At 35.6% G+C, this 23609-nt stretch overlaps 1 protein-coding gene and 1 long non-coding RNA gene across 6 annotated transcripts in view; one reads left to right on the plus strand and one right to left on the minus strand.

The window, feature by feature from the left end:
• Window positions 1–23609, plus strand: part of PDE4B (phosphodiesterase 4B) — a 582070-nt gene that overhangs the window by 235956 nt on the left and 322505 nt on the right. The window contains exon 2 of one of the 5 annotated variants that reach the window (NM_001297441.1): window positions 12234–12243. The exons of the other annotated variants lie outside the window; for them this stretch is intronic. Within the exon in view, the coding sequence (NP_001284370.1) occupies window positions 12234–12243 (10 nt within the window). The remainder of the gene's footprint in view (window positions 1–12233; window positions 12244–23609) is intronic. 5 annotated transcript variants of the gene reach the window in all.
• Window positions 14035–22253, minus strand: PDE4B-AS1 (PDE4B antisense RNA 1). The gene is made up of 3 exons (NR_123718.1): window positions 22066–22253; window positions 17761–17796; window positions 14035–14266 (listed from the first exon to the last, which is right to left on the minus strand). It is a non-coding gene; the product is annotated as a PDE4B antisense RNA 1 (long non-coding RNA).

Consider the following 23609-nt stretch of genomic DNA (forward strand, 5'->3'; position numbering starts at 1 on the left):
TTTGGGGATTAACATTAGACTCCTTGCTACTTATGCAAATTTCTGCAGCCAGCTTGAATTTCTCCCCAGAAAATGGGTTTTTCTTTTCTATTGCATAGTCAGGCTGCAAATTTTCCAAACTTTTATGCTCTGCTTCCCTTATAAAATTGAATGCCTTTAACAACACCAAAGTCACCTCTTGAACAGTTTGCTGCCTTAGAAATTTCTTCCATCAGATACCCTAAATCATCCTTTTTAGGTTCAAAGTTCCACAAATCTCTAGGGGAGGGGCAAAATGCCACCAGTCTTTTTGTTAAAACATAACAAGAGTCACCTTTGCTCCAGTTCCCAACAAGTTCCTCATCTCCATCTGAGACCACCTCAGCCTGAATTTTATTGTCCATATTGCTATCAGCATTTTGGGCAAAGCCATTCAAGAAGTCTCTAGGAAGTTCCAAATTTTCCCACATTTTCCTGTCTTCTTCTGAGCCTTTCAAACTGTTCCAACCTCTGCCTGTTACCCAGTTCCAAAGTCACTTCCACATTTTCAGATATCTTTTCAGCAACGCCCCACTCTACTGGTACCAATTTACTGTATTAGTCCTTTTTCACACTGCTTATAAAGACATAACCAAGACTGGGAAGGAAAAAAAGTTTATTTAGACTTACAGTTCCACATGGCTGCAGAGGCCTCAGAATCATGGTGGGAGGTGAAAGGCACTTCTTACATAGTGGTGGCAAGAGAAAAATAAGGAAGAAGCAAAAGCAGAAACCCTTAATAAACCCATCAGATTTCGTGAGACATATTCACTATCACGAGGGTAGCATGGGTAAGACCGGCTCCTGTGATTCAATTACCTCTCCCTGAGTCCCTCCCACAACACATGGAAATTCTAGGAGATACAATTCAAGCTGAGATTTGGGTGGGGACACAGCCAAACCATATCTGTATGTGATTAGATAGGAAGCTTGCTCTAAGTTGGTAGAATGTAATTTAATGCAAGAGAGTTTGAGTTGAAACAGTTTGAGATAAATATGATTTATATTACAAATATTTTACAGCAAACTTTTTCAATTTGTCATTATTGAAAATGTTTCAGATAAAAATGAAAGATGAAGAGTCTATTGACTCTTTTTTCTTAAGCTAAAATAGACAATACCAATATTAATTTATATATAGTATGTATGAATGTTACTTTTGCTTTTTGATATGAAATATAAGTCATATGTTACTATAATAATAAGCACTACTGACAAAGTTTCTTCTTAATTGTAATCTTTACAGCATAATGAATTCATCTTCCTACATCTAGACATGCAATAATGAAATATTTTAAATACTGAATTTAGGATGAATTTGATTTTATATATGCTTAAATTTGAAATAACCACTTTCAAATTTCTCACCCAGTGATTATAACAATAAATGATCTTTGCTAGATATACAAAGGTACTTTCAAGCAATATTCCTTTTGTTGCTTACCACAATTATGAAGTCTAATTTCAGAAATCTCAGATTAAGTGGGATAGTCAAGCATAGTGACAGAATTGGTATTTAAACCTGGACTGCTTCAATGCCTAATCTGTTGAGGGTTTTTTTTTTTTTTTATCATGAAGGGATGTTGGATTTTATTGAAGGCTTTTTCTGCATCTATTGGGATGACCATATGGTTTTTGGTTTTGATTCTGTTTATGGGGTGAATCACATTTATTTATTTGCATATGTTGAACCAACCTTGCATTCCAGGAATAAAGCCTACTTGATTGTGGTGAATAAACCTTTTGATGTGCTGCTGGACCTGGTTTTCTAGTATTCTGTTGAGGATTTTTGCATCTATGTTCATCAGGGATATTGACCTGAAGTTCCCTTTTTTCAGTGTGTCTTTGCCAGATTTTGGTATCAGGAAGATGCTGGATTTGTAGGATGAGTTAGGGAGAAGCCCCTCCTCCTTGACTTTTTGAAAGGGCTTTGGTAGGATTAATATCAGTTCTCCTTGCATGTCTGGTAGAATTTGGCTGTGAAGCCATCTGTTCTGGGGCTTCTTTTGGTTGGTAGTTTTTGTAGTTTTTTAAATTACTGATTCAATTTGTGAACTTTTTATTGTTCTGTTCAGGTTTTTGCTTTCTTCCTTATTCAATCTACTATTTGACTCAGCAATCCACTACTGGGTATATACCCAAAGAAAAATAATTATATCAAAAGACATATACACCCATATGTTCATCGCAGTGCTATTCACAATAGCAAAGACATGGAATCAACCTAGGAGCCCATCAGCAGAGGATAGGATAAAGAAAAGTGGTACATATACAACATGGAATACGATGCAGCCTTAAACAAGAATGAAATCATGTCCTCTGCAGCCAACATGGATTCAGCTGGAGACCATTATCATAAGTGACCTAATGCAAGAACAGAAAACCAAAAACTGCATGTTCTCACTTATAAGTGGGGGCTAAGCATTTAATACTCATGAAAGTAAATACAGGAATGATAGACCCTGGGGACCACTAGAAGAGGGAGGGAGGGAAGAGGGCATGAGCTGAAGAACCATCTGTTGGATATTATGCTTTCTGCCTGGGTGACAGGGTCATTGGGACCACAAGCCTCAACCACAGGCAATTTACCCATGTAGCAAACCTGCATGTATATCCTTTAATCCATAATAAAAGTTGAAATTAATAAAAATAAAATAAATTGTACAAAAAAACCCTTGGACTTCTAATGCCAAAGACTACATTTCCAGGTATTTAAAGTAAATAGACTAAAATAATTGATTAGAGAATTTTAGGTGAGAGGAAAACACCCTTTCTCTGTGGATTAATAAAAACCCAATTAATATTCTTTCTTTTTATTCTCACCTCTCATTCCTTTATAGAGAAGAGCAATGGAAAGAAGAAGGGAGCAGGGAAACATGGTCAAGGAAGGAAAGTGATTCTCAATCAGGAGAAAAGGTAGCTCTCACTGGTGAAAATTTGGTGCAGTACAACCAAAATACAAAATCCAGTTTACAAAAAATGAAATATTTCAGTGACCCATATATTTATTTTTCTGTGTTTTTCTGCATGGGTTTGGGTTTTTTCCCTATTATTTCAGAATTGGGCTGTAGCCTGCAAGTAAATTAAAGAACACTTGTTTTCATTTTTAATTATTGATCAGCTGTCTCTAAGGTTCATTTACTATTAATGCAGAGGTAGAATTGTGTTTTTTCCATACTCTTTAGTTCTTGATGAACCCCATATGGTTCTGGTGCTCACAGCTCTTCAATAATTCAAGATTATCATGGAAAAATAATCAAGTTTTGAAAATCTAGATCAGTGGTTTTCAAAGTTTTTTCTCCTGTCAACAATAGAAATATTTTTTTTCTAGTTAAATTATGATCTGGACTCAAACTTTTAAACTGTGTTTAAGTGGAGCTGCTTGGCTTTTGTATAAGAAGGAAGGTTTCTCCATGACTCAATTAACTTTCCATCCTCTCCGGTGACCCCAGAGGTAGCTCTTTCAAAGGTTGGGGCTCCTGTTGAACAGAATTTGAAGTACACTGAGATAGATGAAAAGCAGTTAGGATGTAGCTCAGGCTGAGTTCTGAGATAGAGCTGATCTGGGTTCAAACCATGAACCTCACCATCAACTAGGCTTGTTACCAACAGCAGGTAGCTGAACTTCTCTAATATCAGTTTCCTCCTCAGTATAAGTGGGGAGAAAATAATGCCCACCTCATAAAACTGTTTTGAGGATTGAAATAATGCATAAGAAGTATTTGGCATGTATTGTTACTTGTGTCAGTTAATAATCTCTTCTGAGACATATTCTATAGTGATACAATGTTGGCAGTATGATGAAGCCATAGAGATAATGCTACTCAGAGTACAGACTGCTTTCTTGATGACAGACCTGAATATTTCAAATTATAATCCTAGGAGGCTATAGTTTATGCTTTTTTCCAACTCTAAGATTTGTATAAAGACACATATAAAGTGTATCCATTTTGAATAATACATTTAAAGGGATACTTTATCCCCTAAGATGCTGCACTGGTGAAAATCCCTAGGATAATGTGTAATCTTCTTTGACAGTATGTGCACGTAAAATAGTTTCACAAGTGCAAGATGGCAAATGTAATCTTCCCATGTGCAAATAGACTTTATTCCATTGAGGGTAGAGTCTCTACAGCTGAGTTTTTTAATGCCATGGTATCATTTATCTAATTTTTTTTTTTTTTTTTTTTGAGAAGGAGTCTCGCTCTGTCAGCCAGGCTGGAGTGCAGTGGCGCGATCTCAGCTCACTGCAAGCTCCGCCTCCCAGGTTCAAGCCATTCTCCTGCCTCAGCCTCTTGAGCAGCTGGACTACAGGCGCCTGCCACCACGCCCGGCTAATTTTTTGTATTTTTAGTGGAGACGGGGTTTCACCGTGTCAGCCAGGATGGTCTCGATCTTCTGACCTTGTGATCCACCCGCCTCAGCCTCCCAAAGTGCTGGGATTACAGGCGTGAGCCACCACGCCCGGCCTCATTTATCTAATTCTTAATAAGCAATCCATTTTGCTTTGTTTCTTCTCTCCCTCGCTTCCTTCTCTTCTTCCTTGCTTCTATTTGGTGCCAAACACCGCGTTTTATTTATGATATTAAAAAGTAAAGTGAGTGTGATGGTGGCTGGTCACCCATTGTTTTGAATTAATAACAGAAAAAAAGAAATATTTTAGTGGCCCATATGTTTATTTTTATGTGTTTATGTATGTGGTTTTGGGGTTTTTTAGTGCCTTCTATCCCTAGAAGTCACTTTAATCTCAAGACTGTCCAAATAAACTTTTCAGCAAAAGCATCAGGTGAGAAGTCTGGGAGAAACCATCCTATAAAACAATATGAACAGAATGGAGCAGTGAACACAATGCTCCCATTCTTTCTCTGTCCTCCAAGCCATCTTTCTTCTTATAGACTCCCTGCCATGTGTTGCCTGGCTCAGGTTCTACATGTTCATCCTGCCATATTGGCACTGGCTTCTTTGAATTCTGCTCTAGTTCTGAGACGGTGGCGCTTTATTCACTACTAACTCCCAGGACCAGTGCATGCTATTCTTCAATTTATTGTGTAGATTAAAAGGTATCTTCTTAAAAAATGATGCATGCTGCTGGGAAATACAGACACTTTAATTTTACTTAGAATCTTACTTGGAATGTGTTAGTAGCCAGATAAACAAGCAAGACTGACTCAGGAAAGAAGCCAGAGAAAGGGTAAGTGTGTCAAGCAAAAGTAGACAGCAGCACCAAATTGAAAAAAAAAAAAATGAGAGGAGGAGAAGAGGCTAAAGGTACATCTCCTTTTACTTTTCTTTCTTTCTTTCTTTCTTTTTTGTAATTTTGCTTTAAGCTTTCCATTCAAATTATCTTATGCTTCTTGGACTAGCTATTAATATTAGACTTATGGTTGATTAGCATTTCAAAGAGATAGAGGCAATGTATGATGATTCTGAGTCACCTACTCCATTGAATGACAGCTTGACTAACCCAGTGACACATACAGGTCTCAGCCACACCCCTATCCTGAACGTGTCTTCTCAGAATTCTCTCCCTTAATCTTGATCTTTGTGTTCTTCTTTGACTTTCCATTTTATGTCTCTTTTGCCTCTTGTAATGAATTCTCTGTTTTCCTAATCTTCCTCCTTACCTCTTTCAAAGTCTGTGTATTTCTTTCTCCCTCTTTGTGAGTGAGCTTTCTCTCTCTCTTTTTCTCTAATATTTTGCATACCCTTAATTCTTATCTGTACAAGCCATGGATTTTGAATTATATATTTGAAATATTAACTGCAGCTATTTAATAAAGATTTACAACTCTAGGTTTCTGTTAAATAACAAGTAGTTGAAAGTTAAAAATTTCACATTTTACAGGAGAGGTTTTTTGCTATGTAAGCCACTTCTTCTTTGGACTTTAGGTCAGAATATTTAAGTAGAAAAAGAACTATCAGTTCTAATTTAAGCTGTTATTTTAATGTTATAGACAGTAAATTTAAATTATTCATGGCATTATGGAATATTCCTGGGTTTCCTGATCCTCTAGTTTTAGGCTACAGTGTTTCATGAACTGGCTTAACTACAAAAACCATTATCTAAAATCCATACCAAACATTAAAAGGGCAGAAAAGGGGAGAAGGCATACAGACATTGAAAAATTCTGCACAAACTTCAGCCTGTAAGTGCTTTGAACTCACACACAACCTTTAATGTTTTCCTTGCATTCTTTGAATGAACCTCACTTTTCTGTTCAGAACCCTAGCATGTCTAGGAACTTACATTGCATGTGCTTAATCATGGAAGTGACCATATGTTCTTTTTATTTCTAACTTTATTTGGCTCTGTCTGCCCTGACTTTTTCCTCTCTGGTCATAAAGTTTTTATCTTACCATTCAGTTTCTCCCAGAAAGCCTCTGAACCAGTCCAACTTTGTTATTTCTGTCTGCTCCCCGAGTCCTTGATGGAAGTGTGGGTGAGGATGGGGGACTGTTTAAACTTTTCCCTTTTAGGTTACCATCTTATCTCCTTGCTCTCCCAGTATCAATATTCTCTCTGCTAGAGAGCAGCTTCTCAACCTACTTGGGTCCCTTAGGGATGTCTCTGCATACTAATCTTTCAGTACTTATCTGCAATCCATTACTTACCCTCATTAAATACAGTTTGGATCATTTCCCAGAGTCAATGGCAAAAATAAAAAGGAATTTTTAGTTTAATTAAAGACTGGCACCATTTTTTAATTAATTTTTTGACAAATAGTAATTGTGTATATTTATGGGGTATAATGTGATGTTTTGACACATGTTTAGATTGTGGAATGATCAAATCAGAGTGATTAGCATATCCATTACCTCAAATATTTGTTATTTCTCTGTGGTGAGAACACCTAAACTCCTCTCTTTTAGCTATTCTGAAATATCTGCTACATTATTATTAACTAAAGTCATCTTCCTGTGCAATGGAACACCAGAACTTATTCCTCCTATCTAACTATAACTTTGTACTTATTGACCAACATCTCCTCTTTTCCTGTTCACTTCCCAACTCCCAGCCTCTGGTAACCACCATTCTCCTCTCTACTTCTATGAGTTTAACTTTTTTAGTTTCCACATATAAGTGAGATTATACAGTGTTTGTCTCTCTGTGTGTGGCTTATTTCACTTAACATAATGTCCTCCAGGTTCATCCATGTTGTTGCAAATGACAGAATTTCCTGTTTTTGTAAAGGCTGAAAAGTATTCCATTGTGTGTGTATATATATGTATATGTATATACACACTTTAAAATTATTCATCAGTTTATAGACAAAAGTTATTTCCATATCTTGGCTATAATGAATATTGCTGCAATGAATATGGGAGTGTAGACATCTCTTTGGCATACTAATTTTAATTCCTTTGTGTGTACACCCAGTAGTGGGGATTGCTGGATAATAGGGTAATTGTATTTTTACTTTTGTGAGGAACTTCCATGCTAGTTTCCAAAGTGGCTGTACTAATTTACAGTAGCATCAATAATATAAAGTCTTCCCCTTTTTTCCACATCCTTAACAACATTTGTTATCTTTCATCTTGATAGTAGCCACCGTAACAGGGTGAAGTGATATGTCATTGTGGTTTTAATTTGCATTTTACTAATGACTAGAGATGTTAAGCACTGTGGGCATTTGTATGTCTTCTTTTGAGAAATGTTTATTCAAATTCCTTGCCCATTTTTAAAGTTATTTTTTTCCTTGTTATTGAGTAGTTTGAGTTCCCTGCATATTTTGGATATTAGCCCCTTATCCAGCATATGATTTGCAAATATTTTCTCCTAATCTGTGGGTTGTCTCTTTACTCCCTGAATTGTTTTCTTTGCTGTGCAGAGTTTTTTGGTTTGATGCAATCCCATTTGTCTATTTTTGCTTTTATTGCCTGTGCTTTTGGGGTCATATCCAAGAAATTTCTGCCCAGACCAATATGGGTACTCTCCCCTAAGTACTTTTTAGTAGTTTTACAGTTTCCAGTCTTATGTTTAAGTCCTTAATCCATTGTGAGTTTATTCTTGTATTAGGGGTGAGATAAGAGTCCATTTTGGTTCTTCTGTATGTGGACTTCTGTTTTCTCAACAGCATTTATTGAAGTGACTGTCTTTTTCTCATTGTGTGTCCCTAGTGCCCTTGTCAGAAATCAATTGACTATTGATGTGTGGGTTTATTTCTGTGCTCTCTGTCCTATACCATTAGTTGAGGTGTCTGTTTTTACGCCAATATCATGCTGCTTTGCTGTTTTGATTACTGTGGCTTTGTATATTATTTTGAAATCCTGTAGCATGACGACTCCAGGTTTGTCCTTTTTGGTCAACATTGCTTTGGCTATTTGGAGTCTTTTATGATTCCGTACAAATTTTATAATTGTTTTTTCTGGGCCAAGTGTGGTGTCTTATGCCTGTAATCCCAACACTTTGGGGGGCCAACACAGGCAGATCATGAAGTCAGGAGTTTGAGACCAGCCTGACCAACATGGTGAAACCCCGTCTCTACTAAAAATACAAAAAGTTCGCCGGGTATGGTGGCGTGACCTGTAGTCCCAACTACTTGGGAGGCTGAGGCAGGAGAATCACTTGAACCTGGGAGGTGGAGGTTGCAGTGAGCCAAGATCACACCACTGCACTGGGTGACAGAGTGAGACTCTGCCTCAAAAAAAAAAAAAAAAAAGAAATAATTGTTTTTTCTATTTCTGTAAAGAATGACATTGGGATTTTGATAAGGATTGCATTGAAACTGTAGGTCACTTTGGGTAATATGGACCTTTTAAAAATATTAATTCTTCCAGTCTATAAACATGGGATATCTTTTCATTTGTCATCAATGTTTTATAGTTTTCAGTGTAGAGATCTTTCACTTTATTGGTTAAATGTAGTCCTAAATATTTTGATTTTTTGATGCTATTATAAATAGGATTGTTTTCTTATTTCTTTTTCAGACACTTTGCTGTTAGTGTGTAGACATACCACTGATTTTTGTAAGTTGATTTATGTATCCTGTAACTTTACTGAATTTGTTTTTCAGTTCTAGTAGTTTTTTTTGGTGGAGTCATTACGATTTTCTTTATATAAGGTCATGTTGTCAGCAAATGAAGATGATTTTACTTCATCATTTCCTATTTTGATGCCTTTTATTTCTTTCTCTTATCTAATTGTTCTGGCTAGTACTTCGAGTGCTATGTTGAAAAGAAGTGATGAGAGTGGGCATCCTTGTCTTTTTCCTGATCTTAAAGGAAAAGTCTTCAGCTTTTTACCATTAAATATGATGTTAGGTGTGAATATTGGCATCATTTTCAACAATAAAAATGTTTTTAAAATTTTATGTTGTGGCAAAAATTGGCTATGCAAGATATTTTTATCATTTTATAAAAGATTATGGATCAAAAAATATTAATGAAAATAAAACAAAATATATTAAAGCTTCCTCTATTATCTTTATTCAACTTAGGTTTAAATTGTATGATAAATTAGAAATGGAAGATATTAAGAAAATAAAAGGCTTTATAGAACTTTTGTAGAAATTTGAAAGATTTGCATAATTTGTATAGAGTAAAATTGGGGACAGTTTTCCATGAGGTCATAAGTACAGGATAGGAGGGCATTAAGGTGGTGGAATAAAATTGGTACATACTGGTATGGGACATAATTACAGCAAAATGTGTGCAGGGGGTAGGATTCATTTATTCAGTCAGTTGGACAGTCAATTATATATTTTACAAATTGTCTAGTTAGTGTTATTTTGTGCCAGTCATTATACTAGGTTTTGGGATTTCAGTGGTAAATAAAAACAGACAACATGAAGTATAACTGTATAAGCATTCATTGAGTAATAACACAATAATTTAATGATTATGTATGTGTTTGGCAGGAAGACAACCGAAGCCATAGAACCACATAGCAGGGGGTCTTGTTATGCAGAGTGTAGAATCAGAGATTTCCATGATGAAATGATATTGAATTAAATATTAAAGTGGGAGTGAAGAGAACATCCTTTCTGTTTTATTTTGAGATTGGCAACCCTCGGCATTCTTAAAGTTCAAGGGGAAGGATTCAGTACCTAGGGAATAGTAGAACATATGGAGGAAAAAAAGATATCTGCAAGATATCTGAGATGGTAGAAATAGGAAATGAAGTTGTAGGATTTTGTGGTGGGGAAGCGGGTCACAGTTTAGTGCTTTCCTTAAGACAGGAAAAGATACTTGTGATTGTTTTGTAAATAGGCTCTTGAACAGGGAGGAAACTGGTGAAGCTATTGCTTTAAGAATGGTGGCAATAGATTGTTGAGCGATTGGAATAGCTTAAGAGTGAAAGACCAGGTCAAGTGGAAGATAGCTGCATCTAAGCAGTCATTGAGTAATAAGGTCATGAATCGAGATAGCTTAATGTCCACGTGAAAATTATCTTCTATGTTTTCTGTTTTCGTGACATGTTTTCACTCCTATTTTTTTTAAAACAAAATGCAGTTGTGTGTATCTCAGAAGTCCTATTCAGTAAAAATTTTCCCTATACTCTCAGGAAGAGTTTTATTGCAACTCCCCCAGAATCCCACAGAATTTGATTTCTACCTCTTAGTGCACACTCTATGAAACAATGAATTGTTTATGTTCTTGTTACCTGAATAAAACTGATAATTTCTCATGGGCTTGGAGAGTTGTTATTTATTTTTTATAGCATACACAAGGCAGAATTTGGAAAATATTGGACACACAATAGATAACAATTAGATATTGTTATTGATTGACTGAGTGCCTAGATGAAGAGAATCAACATTTGCATTTTTTATATTTTCCACAGGTAGCCTGTCTTGTTGCTTTTCTTCTTAGTGTATCTTTAAGTAAAAGACTTCATAATTTGGAAAATGCCAATACCTTTATTGTTGAAATCAATTGCATGCCTAAAGCAGACAGATTAACTGCTTTTCAAGACATAGAGAATTCATGGTAACTGGTTTATCTAACAGTATTATTATTCAGTTTCAGAATAATACATACCAAAATATGTTGTGTTTTCCCATTCTTAGTGGCTGTTCTAACAGGTTCACCAACAACGTTGTTTACTTCTCTCTTTCTCTCTCTTACTTTCTCTCATGTCTCTATATATCTATAATCTTTCTATCTATCCACTGATCTATAATCCCATGTATATACATATATGTACCCTGAAGCGAGATAAACATGGATTTAAATCGTGTTGCCTTAATTTAACTATGACTCAGAAATGTCATACAGTCACTGAGCCTCAGTTTCTGCATCTGAAAATGGTAAATAATTTCTCTTATCTTGCAGACTTTAAGACAGGATTAGAAATAACATCTTGTGAAGTATTTAATAATTGGTAGACAATTCACAGTGGCTATTATTTTGGTGTATACTTTATGGTACTCATTGTTATGTAGTTGTATATAGGCATAAATGGTTAATGCTATTCATAACTGACAATGTATTCTGATCCTTTTTGGTGGACAACTGAGAGAAAAGTCTGTGGTTTCAGATTCTGCCCCTTTAGGAATGGATAATTGAGAGGAAGGAGCCGGGATTCTTCATTCCTCTCCCTCCATTAGCATCCAAACTGGAACCTTCATGATGGAGGATAGGATGGATTCTCCTGTTAGAGAAGATAGTTGCACCATCTGAACACTGGTTACTCAGGATTCTATGTTTATCTTTTAACTTTTTCAATGAGGACGACTATTGTATTGGCAGAAAGAGTGCTTTTTGATATGGTTTATGTATATGCCCAACTCCTAATGCACAAACCTGTTAGTAGAGCACATTCAGGATACTCAAGCCCTGACTACTGTTGAATAAAGAAACAATAACCCTATTTTATTTAGAGGAACCACCTCAAAGTCTCTTGCAGTAATGCTCAATTCTCTTCCCTTCCTAACTCACCAGGAAGAAGGGGGCTGGAGGCACAAATACATGTTTCTTCCCACTCCCAAAGAGAAAGGCTGTGCAGTGGGAGTAGGCTAGATGTTACAATTCTTTGCTCCATTAGGGGATTAAAATGACAGGTGACACTTCTCTTTTATAAGCTAGGCACCTAGGAAAAAAAGGTTGCTTGTTTTGGGTTTGCTTTATAATAAGAAGAATATGCTGAAGCACAGGGTGCTAGAAAATAAAAGATGGGTAAGAGGTTTGATGAAAGACTGGGAATAAAAGTAGTTGCATTTCTAGAACAGCATGAAAATGTAATCCTACAATGTTTGAGATTGCCATGGATGAAGTTTTAAAGAAGTGACTTTGCTCAGGAAATTAAGTTTTTGATCAAGGAGAGTAAAGGTTAAGAAAGTATTTGCAATTTGGTATCAGGTTTAGAGAAGACTTCAAGTGTTATAGTATAGAGGCCATTTGGAAAGTCAACCCTTAGCCTAAAGTATGGAGAAAGGGGAGGGAGAGGAGGGCTTTTAAAAGGAAGTAGGAAAGACAAAATCGTATCTTGCTCATTTGATAATTTTGCCTAAAATCTGATGGGACTGATCTTAGCTTAGTGGCCCCATCTTTTTAAAAACGTTTCAGCCCATCTTTTCTGGAATTGGTAAGATTGGAAGTGGATAGCAGCTGGGCGTGTCTTCAAATGATTTGTTGTTGAACAGAATAATTCCTTTTCTAGAACTAACCCATACTAAGGTGTTGTATAGAGGTGGAGTAGGGTGGTGATAGCTAGTTATTTATTGGGCAAACATGCTAAGCAAAGTAGCTTAGAAAGTATAATGGCACAAAGATAAACTGTTGGCTTACTTCCTGCTTAGTGAAATATTGTTTATTAAGACTCAATTCATAGTTGGCTTCTATTGATTTTTTACCATCCAGTACTCAAAGATGTGCAAAAATGTTCCAGCATTTGCTCAATAATCAAATGATCACTTTCTTTGTATTGACAATCTCTCTTGATGTTAGTTTGTTCCACATGTCATCCAAGGCTGACAATCGTTATAGTAGCCTCAAGTTTTTCGTCATTACAACTTCTTGACCTCTCTCCTTCTTTCTCTTTCTCCAACTTAAGACCCAGGTATATAGAACCATTTGCAACTTCTACAACATACTGTCATTGCTTATACTTTACCCAGTGGTTGGAACATTCTAACTTACTTCTTCACTTGCCTCACTCTACTGAATTCTCAAGACGGGGCTCAATGTCCTATAGGAAGCATGGCCAGTTGCAGGATGAAGTCAAAGATAGCTGTCTCTGCTACGTGCTCCAGTTAGATTTCTGTGCTTTGTAACAGCATTAATCACAACATATAGCATGTCATTTTCCTGCTCCTCTCTTTCTGGGTCATGAATAACTTGAGGAGGAAGAATCTATTTTACTTTTGCTTTGAAATACACACACACACACACACACACACACACATACACACACACACACACACAGAATACCTAATGTATGATTCAACATAATGTCTGGCTTAGTAGGTCATCAGTAGGTTCAAAGAATAAATGAATATATGAATTGCAAGTGCTTTGCATAATGGATATGTAATAAGTAACTGTTAAATAAATGTTTTCAAAGGAGTTACTCTTCTTGAAGAAAGCAAACTTCTTGATTCTATTTTTATTACAAAAGTTTAAAGATATATTTAATGAGACATTTTCAAAGGAAATGCCATAAATGGAGGTCATTAATCATTCACTAATTCCTTTTCAACCAACTTCAGGTGATTGTTTCCCCCAAATCAAATAAATGTTAAAATTATTTGTATAGCTGTTAAAGTGATTGATATAACTTACATTTAAATGGAAGAAAAGTGTTTTGATAGTAACATTTTCAGCCCCAAGATAGCATGTTTTCCTCATGTGTTTTCCAAAGAAAGGAAGCTAGATTACTATGACTTAATTTATAATATATTTCAACATTGATGGATGAAAAAATAATGAAGTGTTTATTTACCTGAAGAAAGTAAATTCAAGGTCCAATATATCTTAATATACTGATTTATTGCTTATGTAATGTATAATATTAATTATGTACAACTGCATTATACAACATACATAATGGCAGTAATTATGTTCGTGTGTCTGAAATACATTTTTGAATGAGGTATTTATTTATTGAATTCAAAGGGCAGAACAATAAGTTAAAAGAAAGTATAAGGCATGGCCAGAGCTCGGTCCAGTTTCCAGCATACAACAAGCTCTCCATAAAGCATAATTTCTCTTTTAAGGATATTGTCCTTAAGGCAGTGTGCTGTGGTAGTGTTGAGTCAAGCAGTCTGGACTTAATAAGACGTTTCCCTGGCATTCAAAAGTTTTTGATCTGTTAAAGGTAGAAAAATTTTTATTAAAAAGACTATTTTGTATTAGCCAAAAGGGGATATAATCGTTGTTAATGTAAAAATAGATATGATGTATTACTTAAAAATTTTTGACTCTCTAATATCTTTCAAATTTCCAACACCAACAGTAATATAAGTCCAGTAAGCCATGAATCAAATTGGAACTGTACTTCAGCAATGGTGTAGTTCTTTGCAGTGCAGTCTATTATGTTAAGTAGTTTCTTACCGTATGAAATTCATGTGTTCTTTTCATAAACCTAGGATTATAAAAAGTCTAATGTGATGTGTGAGTTTAAGGCTATGAATCCAGCTTTAGGGAGGTCTCATTAAGGAAAAAGGGGACAGATGGATCCATGTGCCTACTGTGTGTTATAGTGCCTACTGAGTGCTTTTGGAATAAAAAGATGAGTAAGTTTGAGCCTTTTAACAATAGCTACTTCCCTTAGAAGGAGGAAAGGAAATTACAGAATACCTCTTTGAATTTTTGACCAGTTATAAATTTTTTTTAAAAGTGAAATAAAGAAGTTAACTAATTGGATTTGCTTCACTATTTCAGTCAATCTGTGTTGAATCTTTGAGCAAAACTGGTTGAGCAGCTTACATGACAGCTCTCCAAGTAAATGGAAAATTTCCCAAGCTCATGCTGGTTAGGAAACAGAAGTCCTCTTTTAAAGCAGTGCAGAACTCAGCAGTTTGGGTTTCATTGAACTGGCTTAGTGGTTTCAACTTATATAACTTCCATATGGAAAGTTAAGGGGAACATAGAAACCAAACCCTCTTATTGTACCACCTGAGAGCAGCTGCTCTTTCGGGGGTTTCTGGTACATTGCCTAGGACCCTGGAGATCTTTTATTTTTCCTAAAAATCTGGAATTCTGTCCAAAGACCAACGAAACCATGAAAGTCAAACTTATGCAAACTAATTTCTAATGGCAGTGAGAGGAGGAAATCCAGTTTAATCTCCTTTTTAAAGTGCACAAACACTTGGAACTGTTTGACCTAACAGTCAGCAAAGGGTCCAGAGAGAACCAACACAAAACAGGCAACAGGATTGTGTTCTCTAGTAAATCATGGATGGTGAAAAAATTTTGTTTTTCTTTTGAAATAGTCTAGAGGCAAATGAGAATATTAGGCTGAACACTGTAAATTACAGACAACTAGGAACCATGATTGGTAAGGACTAAAGATGCAATTTTGAAACTAAAACAAACAAAAAATTTATGTCTCACTTGGTTATGGGAGGACATTGAGAATCAATGAAGGTCTGTCAAGTATTATACTAAATGTATTATACTAAATGTATTATATGTGCTTTGTCATCTAATTTTTTATCACTTCTGTGGGTAGGAATTATTTCAACCTAATTTTTGCTTCTGAAGAAACTGACAGAGAGACGGAATGTGTTTCTAAAGGACTGAAAAGGGGTGAATTTAGGATCGAATCCTAGGTGTGTTTCTACCTGTTTTAAACATACTGCTTTCTATTTTGAGGTGTTTATAATATTTCTTTTAGGTATATGAATTTACAAATGCCAAGAGTGGGTTGAACCATTCTTAAAATATTGATAGTTTCATAAAAAATATTGTAAAAATCTTTACATGCCTAAAATTGATTACTTCTCTGAGAAAGTTTCTACATGATTGAATTTGTGTGGCCGAATGAAAAGACATATGTTTTAGAAGAGAAAAGTAATGAATGATTGATGATTGTGCAGTGTTTCTATCCAGTGATTTAGAACTCAGCTTGTTTGAATTGCTTTAGCAGAGGGATCACAAGCGATATATATTTTTTAAGTAAATGTTTAAAACATTGGCTATATCTTTAATTAGAGAAAAATTTCTGGACTCACGACGAGCACAGAAATTTGAGAAAATTAGTGTAATTAAAACTCAGATGTCCAGCAAGTTTGTATTATATTTCTTTTGTGCTTCATAAGATGTGAATAATATTTTCCAAATAATTAAGACTGAATGTTAACTCTGTGAGAAAAAGAATTTATTTTTAGAAATTTGAATAAGAATCTCCCTTTAAAATCCACATTTCCATGCCATATGTGATCATTTTATGAGTAAAATTTTACCTTTCCTAGAATCCAAGATCATTATTATAAACATCAGCTACTGAGTTACTCTGTTAACTGCCATTGATACAATTTTTACAAAATATAAACTTGAGTAACAACTGGTCCTAGATTTAACAAACAGAAACAAAAATTACCCATTTATTGTAATAATGACATATTTTTAAATCTTCTATAACTGGAATAAAATAACCAGCCACTATATGTATCTGATCCTCTGCATTCTCATTCCAACTGCATGATGAAGGTCAAACTCCTGCTCAATGCATGATCTTTGTCACGAGGTGGAGCTTACCAGGACTTATGACTGTTTACAAACTGACCTTTTTCTCCTTTGACCCCTATCTTTTTCTTAGTATATGTGCTGCTGAAGTAAGCATTCTCCTTTGACTCTTTCCCTTCATTTTATTATTATTTTTTTCAATTTTTCTTTTCAATTTTTTGTGGGTACTCCCTTCATTTTAGAATCTCAAAGTAGCACTTAGTCACCAAATGTCTGTTTCTTCTGTTTTGAAGTCTAATCTAACTCCTCTGGCTCCCCTGAGCTAATGCTGATTCCCAAAGAGAAGGCACCCTTAACTCAAAGTTAGAAATATAATCAAAGTCCCTAAGTTTCCTCAAATATCTCTTTCTAGCATGTCTTTCTGAACTGAGTCTTATCAGAAATTTCTCCTGCAAAAATACTTTCCTGGCTTGTACTTCCTAATTTTATTCAAGAATGTAGCAGGAAATTCATGAAGCATTGATGAAGTGTCTATTATATGGAAGATACTCAGGTTCTTCACCACAAAGATGGCTAAGACGCATGCTCATCCCCCAAGATGCCCATGTTAAAGTGGGGGGCAGGGACATAAAGATGTAATATATATATAGATGATTGTGAAATGATATAGACGAGATTCAATCAAAGAAAAGATGTTCTTGAAAAGCAAATCTCCCACCATGATTAAGAGTCTGACTAAGAATATGGGAATGAACGTGATAGGCAGTGGGCTGAGAGATGTGCAAATAAATGCTGTGTTCTAGGAACCATGTATAGTTAAATAAGGCTGAGCATAGACATGAGAGAGATGGGGAGTGGAAGGAGGGCAGGCTGTAAGGGTGAGAACCATACCACAAATGAGACCATGCTAGGGAATCAGACTTGATTTTACACATGATGGGCTGCTTTTGGAGTGTGTTTATTTTAGATGAATTATTCTGTAGCAACAGTGCAGAAGAGATATTTGAAAGGGGCAACAGTGGAGGCAGGAAAACCAGTTAGGAAGTGATTGTTGTCATCTGAGCTGGATAGGATGAAGCTTTAGATTGGGTCCATAGCGATAGAGATGGAGGAGAGAAAATTTAGAGAAATATTTATTAAATGTACGTGATATGGAGAGTTCTAAATGTTTACCTTGAGCAGCAGGAACAGATGCAGATTTTGTGGGGCCTGAAAATAAAGTAAAATTATTAATTCAAAAGCAGGTATGAAAGTAAATATTTATTTAAAATGAGAGAATAAATCACAAGGTTACACACTTTAATAAAATGACAAGCCACAAACCTCACAAAATTGAGAAAAAGAAATGTATTTTATATAAGCACAAACTCAGTATTTCTTCAGTTCAACTTTCCTTTAGCCATATTCCAAAACTATCTGTACTCATTCTAATATCTCCCAACGTGAAGAAATATGATAGAGATGAAATCAGAATTCAAAGAGAATCAGGAGTGAGCAAGATACATCCCAGAACCTTTGTTCCTGGTGGTAAATTAAGCAATCATGTCTGGCGAAAGTCAGCACTTGTTATTTCTTATCTGCGTAAAATATTTTCCATTTTAAACCAAGAAGACTCTGAATTATCGGGAATTACATGTTTTTGGCCATAAGAGTGGAATAATGACTGTAATCATTAACAGTAAGGAGTGAGGGAGGCTACTCAATGAGGAAAGAAATGTGTAACATTGCTTCACTTAGGAATATTATCCCCCTCTGCTATTCACTCTTTTAGTGCCTTCCTGAATAGAATATCCTCCAATATTCAGATACAATGGGCTCTAGCATACTCTTTAAGAACCAAAATCTTGAAATCTATAATGAATCAATGCAGATAAACTTTTCTGAACTTTAATTAGATTTTTATCTATTTGATGTCTATGCACAGAAACAAGATAGCAAAACTAAGAATAAATAGGATTTTATAAATTGTTTTATTTAAAGAATAGCAAATATTAACTTTAGAGTATTAATTCCTGTGATTTCCTTGATATTTTTTAAGACAATCAGTGATTCCTATGAGAAATGTGGCAAGACTGGTGAAACATGCCATCTTTTAAGCTTTCTGTTCTTCCTTTGAGAGACAGCCCAGCATAGGGATTAATGCAGGAACCATGGAGTTTGACTGATTTAGTTGGACTCCAGGCTGCTTACTGGTTATATTCTACTTAACCTTTATTTGCCTCAGTTTCTTCATCTGTTAAATAGGGATAAAATGACACCTACCTTACTGGGTTATTGAGTGGATTATAGGTGTTAATATATGAAAATATCTTAGAAGCAATGCCTGGCTTCTAAGGTGGCTGTTATTGTTGTTATCCAAAGAGAAGGAAACATAATTTTCCTTAGACTAGCCTAGAAGTCCCTGTACAACTGAGTCAGTCAGATCTCCAGACTTTATTCCTAGCTACTATACCAGGTATGCTGAGCTCCAGCCCAGTGTTGCTCAGTGTGTTCCATATGGATGTTCTGAGATAATTTGTTATGCCCAGTAAGTGTAGAGCTGAATTAAATATTTTAGAGGTGGCAGAAAGTTCCATATAGTTTTTCATGCTTTAGACTCATAACTCCAAGGCTATATGGATGGTCTCTGAAGATGATGGGGCAATATCCTTTCTATCTGTTACCGTGAGCTTTCACTGAACATGACCATAATTGACTGTGCTAAGACTTTGGCCTTTCCTACTTTTGTGGTATAAGTTCAGACCCTTTGAAGAAGCAGTTCATAAATGCAATTAAATAAATTTCACCCCAACATTAGCTGTCCTGTCCTGACAAGGGAAGTGTTGCTTGTTTACTTAGCACTTGTGTCTTGTTAATACTGGTGATGGCCATCTGTGGGTATGAAGAGCTAATGGCTGTTAAGTGACAGACGAATCATTTCCACAGAGCATGCATACACGTTCTTTCTTTGGATGGCGTCTACAGTTTGTCCTTGGCAGACCATTGCTATTTTCAGACTTGCTTCCAGTATCCTCTTGTATGTGTTGCCTCACAGTAACTTGTCACTTCACTTAAGCAGAAAGCTCACGGTTCTCTCATTGCTGTACCTCCTGTACTAGCCTCTGAATGCAATGTTTGGGTGACTGCCATTATCACTTCCTTTGGCTTTTGATCACTAAACTTCCATTATCCAGGCATCACTTGTATTTATGAGTAAACTTTTCCTTTTGCACCACCCCCATACTCCAAGTCTTATAGATGAGCCATTTCCTGACAGCTAAGGAGCAATCAACTCCACTGTCCTCCTACATAATAATGAATAATCTTTTCTTGCAGTCAATAAAACAGGCTCCCACGATCATATCCTTTTATGACTTGGGGATGCTGGTGAAAAATCTTGACCAGATATTATTTGATTTGGGAGAATAGAGCAATGTAAATATGGCATTCAATATGCTTTAAAATAATTATCTGGAAGGTGTAACTTTCATGCTAAACATGATTTACACTACAAAGAAAGTAGTCTAGGAGAAATAAACCACGGAACTTGTGGGCATTTTGTAATTGTCTAATCTAGCTCCTTTATTTTATAGTTGTGGATGCTGGGGCCAAGTAGAGTTGACTTTCTCAAGGGCACATAGTCAAGGAGCAGTGGAGATGCTGGAATAGAGTCTTCTGATTCACAGCCTATTACTCTTCATTCTCGGATGTTTTATAACTGATAATATCTTTGAAAATATCTAAATATTTTTGTTTGGGAGGCTACTTGAGATCACTTCCTTTTCACTGATAGGTCAGAGGACACACAAGAAGTCCACTCTTAACATATCAGTAAGTGAGTGATGGATGAAGTGAAGAGGTAAGTGTAGACACCTCCATTTTTAAGTTACATTGTTGGGGAGATGGGAAGAAATGCTTAATGAATTAGCTCTCCGTCTTTAGTCAATCTATCTACTATGATTTATCCAGTAATGCATTGGCCCCCGGAACTTGGTGCTTTTACATCTAGCACATCTCCATATCTTATATTTGAGTAAACTTTTAAATATTTATTAATTGTTATTCTGAGAGTGGAAATATCGTAAGTGTAGAATAAGGAGATTAGGCTCTACTCTAAATTCTATTGTGAACCTGAATCCTAATCATGACAAAGTCACTACTCTTTGCCTCAGTTTCTTCACATGTAAAATTGAGGTGCTGCTTTAAATAGCATCATCTAAAATTCATTTCAGATATTGTGAATGGAAAAGCTACAATCTCTGAATGTTACAACTGTCAGGTCAGTTACCCTCATGGATTTCATACATTTCCCATGCCTGGTTGTTGGCAGAGGGAAAAGAGTGGGAGTGTGGTGTCTGTGTTAGTATTGCCAGCTGATGGGCTTTAAAACAGGAGTAGTATGGTTTGAGTAACAAAAATACCTTCTTAGGATGCCTCACCAAATAATAGAGGGTGCTGAAGAGAGTATCTAAGTAAGAGACCTGGCTATTTCTGGAGGTTTTTCAACTAGACCTACGTTTAATATTTAAAAACATGAAAACTCATGTAATTAACATGTAACTTATTTGTATTAAAATTAGTATGCTGACATGATATTTTCTAAAACTGGGCCACATATGCATGGATTTCCTAAATAATCCTTCAAGAGAATAGAGCAGGAAATGAAGTGATATGCCCATTTGCAGTGTGGTATGGGGCTTCCTGAATGTATAAATGTGGAAGGCAGCAAGGTGGGGTTGGATACCAGTAATGCCAAGAACTTAATTTCAGCATTTCAACCACCGTGTACATCCTCAAAATGCCTTTCACTTTAATTTTGTATAAATACGAATTGGATCCCGGGTTACCTTTTGCTTTAGAGATGAAAAAAATGTATTTACGTTTCCCACACAACTGCTAGGAATTAAAGTAGTGTGAAAACTCCACACAAATAAATAATACATTTAAAACTATTTTTAGAAGAATAATTCAAAAAGACAGTAGTTTTGGGACATAGGCAACAAAAAGTCCCTTTTACCTAGGTTTCTTTGATTCAGAGATTCAGCATACGGATTTATGGAGACAGATTATATCCTCAACAAATTAAAGAATACAGGATATACACTGTTGTCTAATATAATATGAGGAAACTTTAAAATTTATTTCCATGAATTCTATGTTCAATTGGAAATATATGTTCAATTGAGTATCAGTAGAAAAATCTATTGTTTTTACTAATGACTCAGCTGCTTAAATGATCTATTGTATCGGTGGCCAGTGGCAGGAAGGAGGCTCTGTGCAGTATTGTTGTAACCATGACATTAGTGACATCATTTAGCAGAAATAGAATTTGGGACATTTGGAAAACAAAGCAGTGGCCTCTTGGCTCAACTTTGTGAGAACCTAATAAATTCTAAGAAAGTATAATGGACAGTGTTGATTTCTCCATATATATTTAGTGATTTTACATGTATGCACACACACACACCTACATACATAAAGTATTTCATTTAAATTTACCTACTAATGTATGATATTCGCAATGCCGTATAGACTTTGGGAAGAATGTTAATCTTGTATTGCAAAGCCATGCTCTACTTTAAAAGCAATGCCTCCAGATGTACAGCATACTTAACAGGGCCAAGAAAACATGTAACGTTGATTCTGTTCTGAGATACACCTTTGTTAAAAAGAATCCCTTCAGTTTTTCCTGTCTGACTAAAAATGATGAAAGGCAGGGTATCCTGAATGGCTGTGTTAGAACATCGAGGTATTGGAGATCCGTGAAGGAGCATCATCGTTACTATAGAAACAAATGCTGCCCCTGTCATGGACATCCAAAGGACAGACTGAAAAATGAGGAAGGGAAAAGCAATGGGAGGAAGAGGTGCCATGAAATGAGAATAAAGAAACTACACAGGAAGGACTGAATTAAGAAAAGAACAGCCTGAGGCAGAGTGAGGAATCTAGACACAGAAAATTCCCAATGGAAATGTAAAAAACTGGATCACCACTTGTGTGGGTACAAAGAAATGATGACTTTTCTGTTTTTAAAAGTTAAATTTTCTTCTAAAGTATAAGTATGTTTTTGCCTTTGGAACAACTTTTTGTATCCTGAAGTCTCTCTTATGGCACATGTATACATATGTAACAAACCTGCACGTTGTGCACATGTACCCTAAAACTTAAAGTATAATAATAATAAAATTAAAAAAAATTAAATTTGAAAGAAAACAAAATAAGTGAAAGTATTGAAGATTGTGATAGAAAATGTGTTTGAATAATGAGTATTAGAATCTGTGACAAGTCACTCGACCTCACCTTAAAATAGGGAAACTAATAGCAACCTCATGATTATTGGGTCAGTATAGGAGAGAACCAAATTCAAACCCTGCTCCATGGAGTGAACATTTCTATTTTGGGGGAAAGATTAGGGAACGGAATCTGGGAATATAAATTATTCATTTTAGTATTTCAGAATGAAGAGAAAAGAGAAGATTTCTTTTCCTTTATTCCTCTCGCTGAAAAAGAATAATTTGTTCATGTTTGAAGACTGTGAACAGAGGTAGAAAACATTTATTATATATATGTAAATATATAATTAGATGACAGTTTACAAAGTGAATGAATAGATGCTATTAAAATGCTACTTTTGACCTTCAAAAACATCTCAAATAGGGTTGATATTATTTGGTTATTTGCTGATTTGGATAAATTGCCAAGCAGAATTTTATATCAAGAATAGAAGATATAACGTTTTTCTATAACATTTGATATGTTTTCTGGAAATGTTTACTTATAGATTATTATCACTCATGTATTGTGGTAGACAAGGTGATGTAGCATCCAGATACCTCTTAAAAGAAACACTTCCCAGCTCCTGCCTTTTTATCCAAAGTCATACTATTCACTCCTTAGGGCAGCCTACTTTCATAGCTGATGAAGGTTGGGGTATAAAGGTATGGCCATCTTCTGAGGTTCTGTTGGGTTTACCAAGGTGGTGGGGCCTGCATTGAAGCTCAGCTTTTCTTCTGCCAGTCCTGCTTCTTCCTCATCCCTTTCAT

This window comes from Homo sapiens, chromosome 1, assembly GCF_000001405.40.
Source record: "Homo sapiens chromosome 1, GRCh38.p14 Primary Assembly".
NCBI classification, from domain to species: Eukaryota; Metazoa; Chordata; class Mammalia; order Primates; family Hominidae; genus Homo; species Homo sapiens.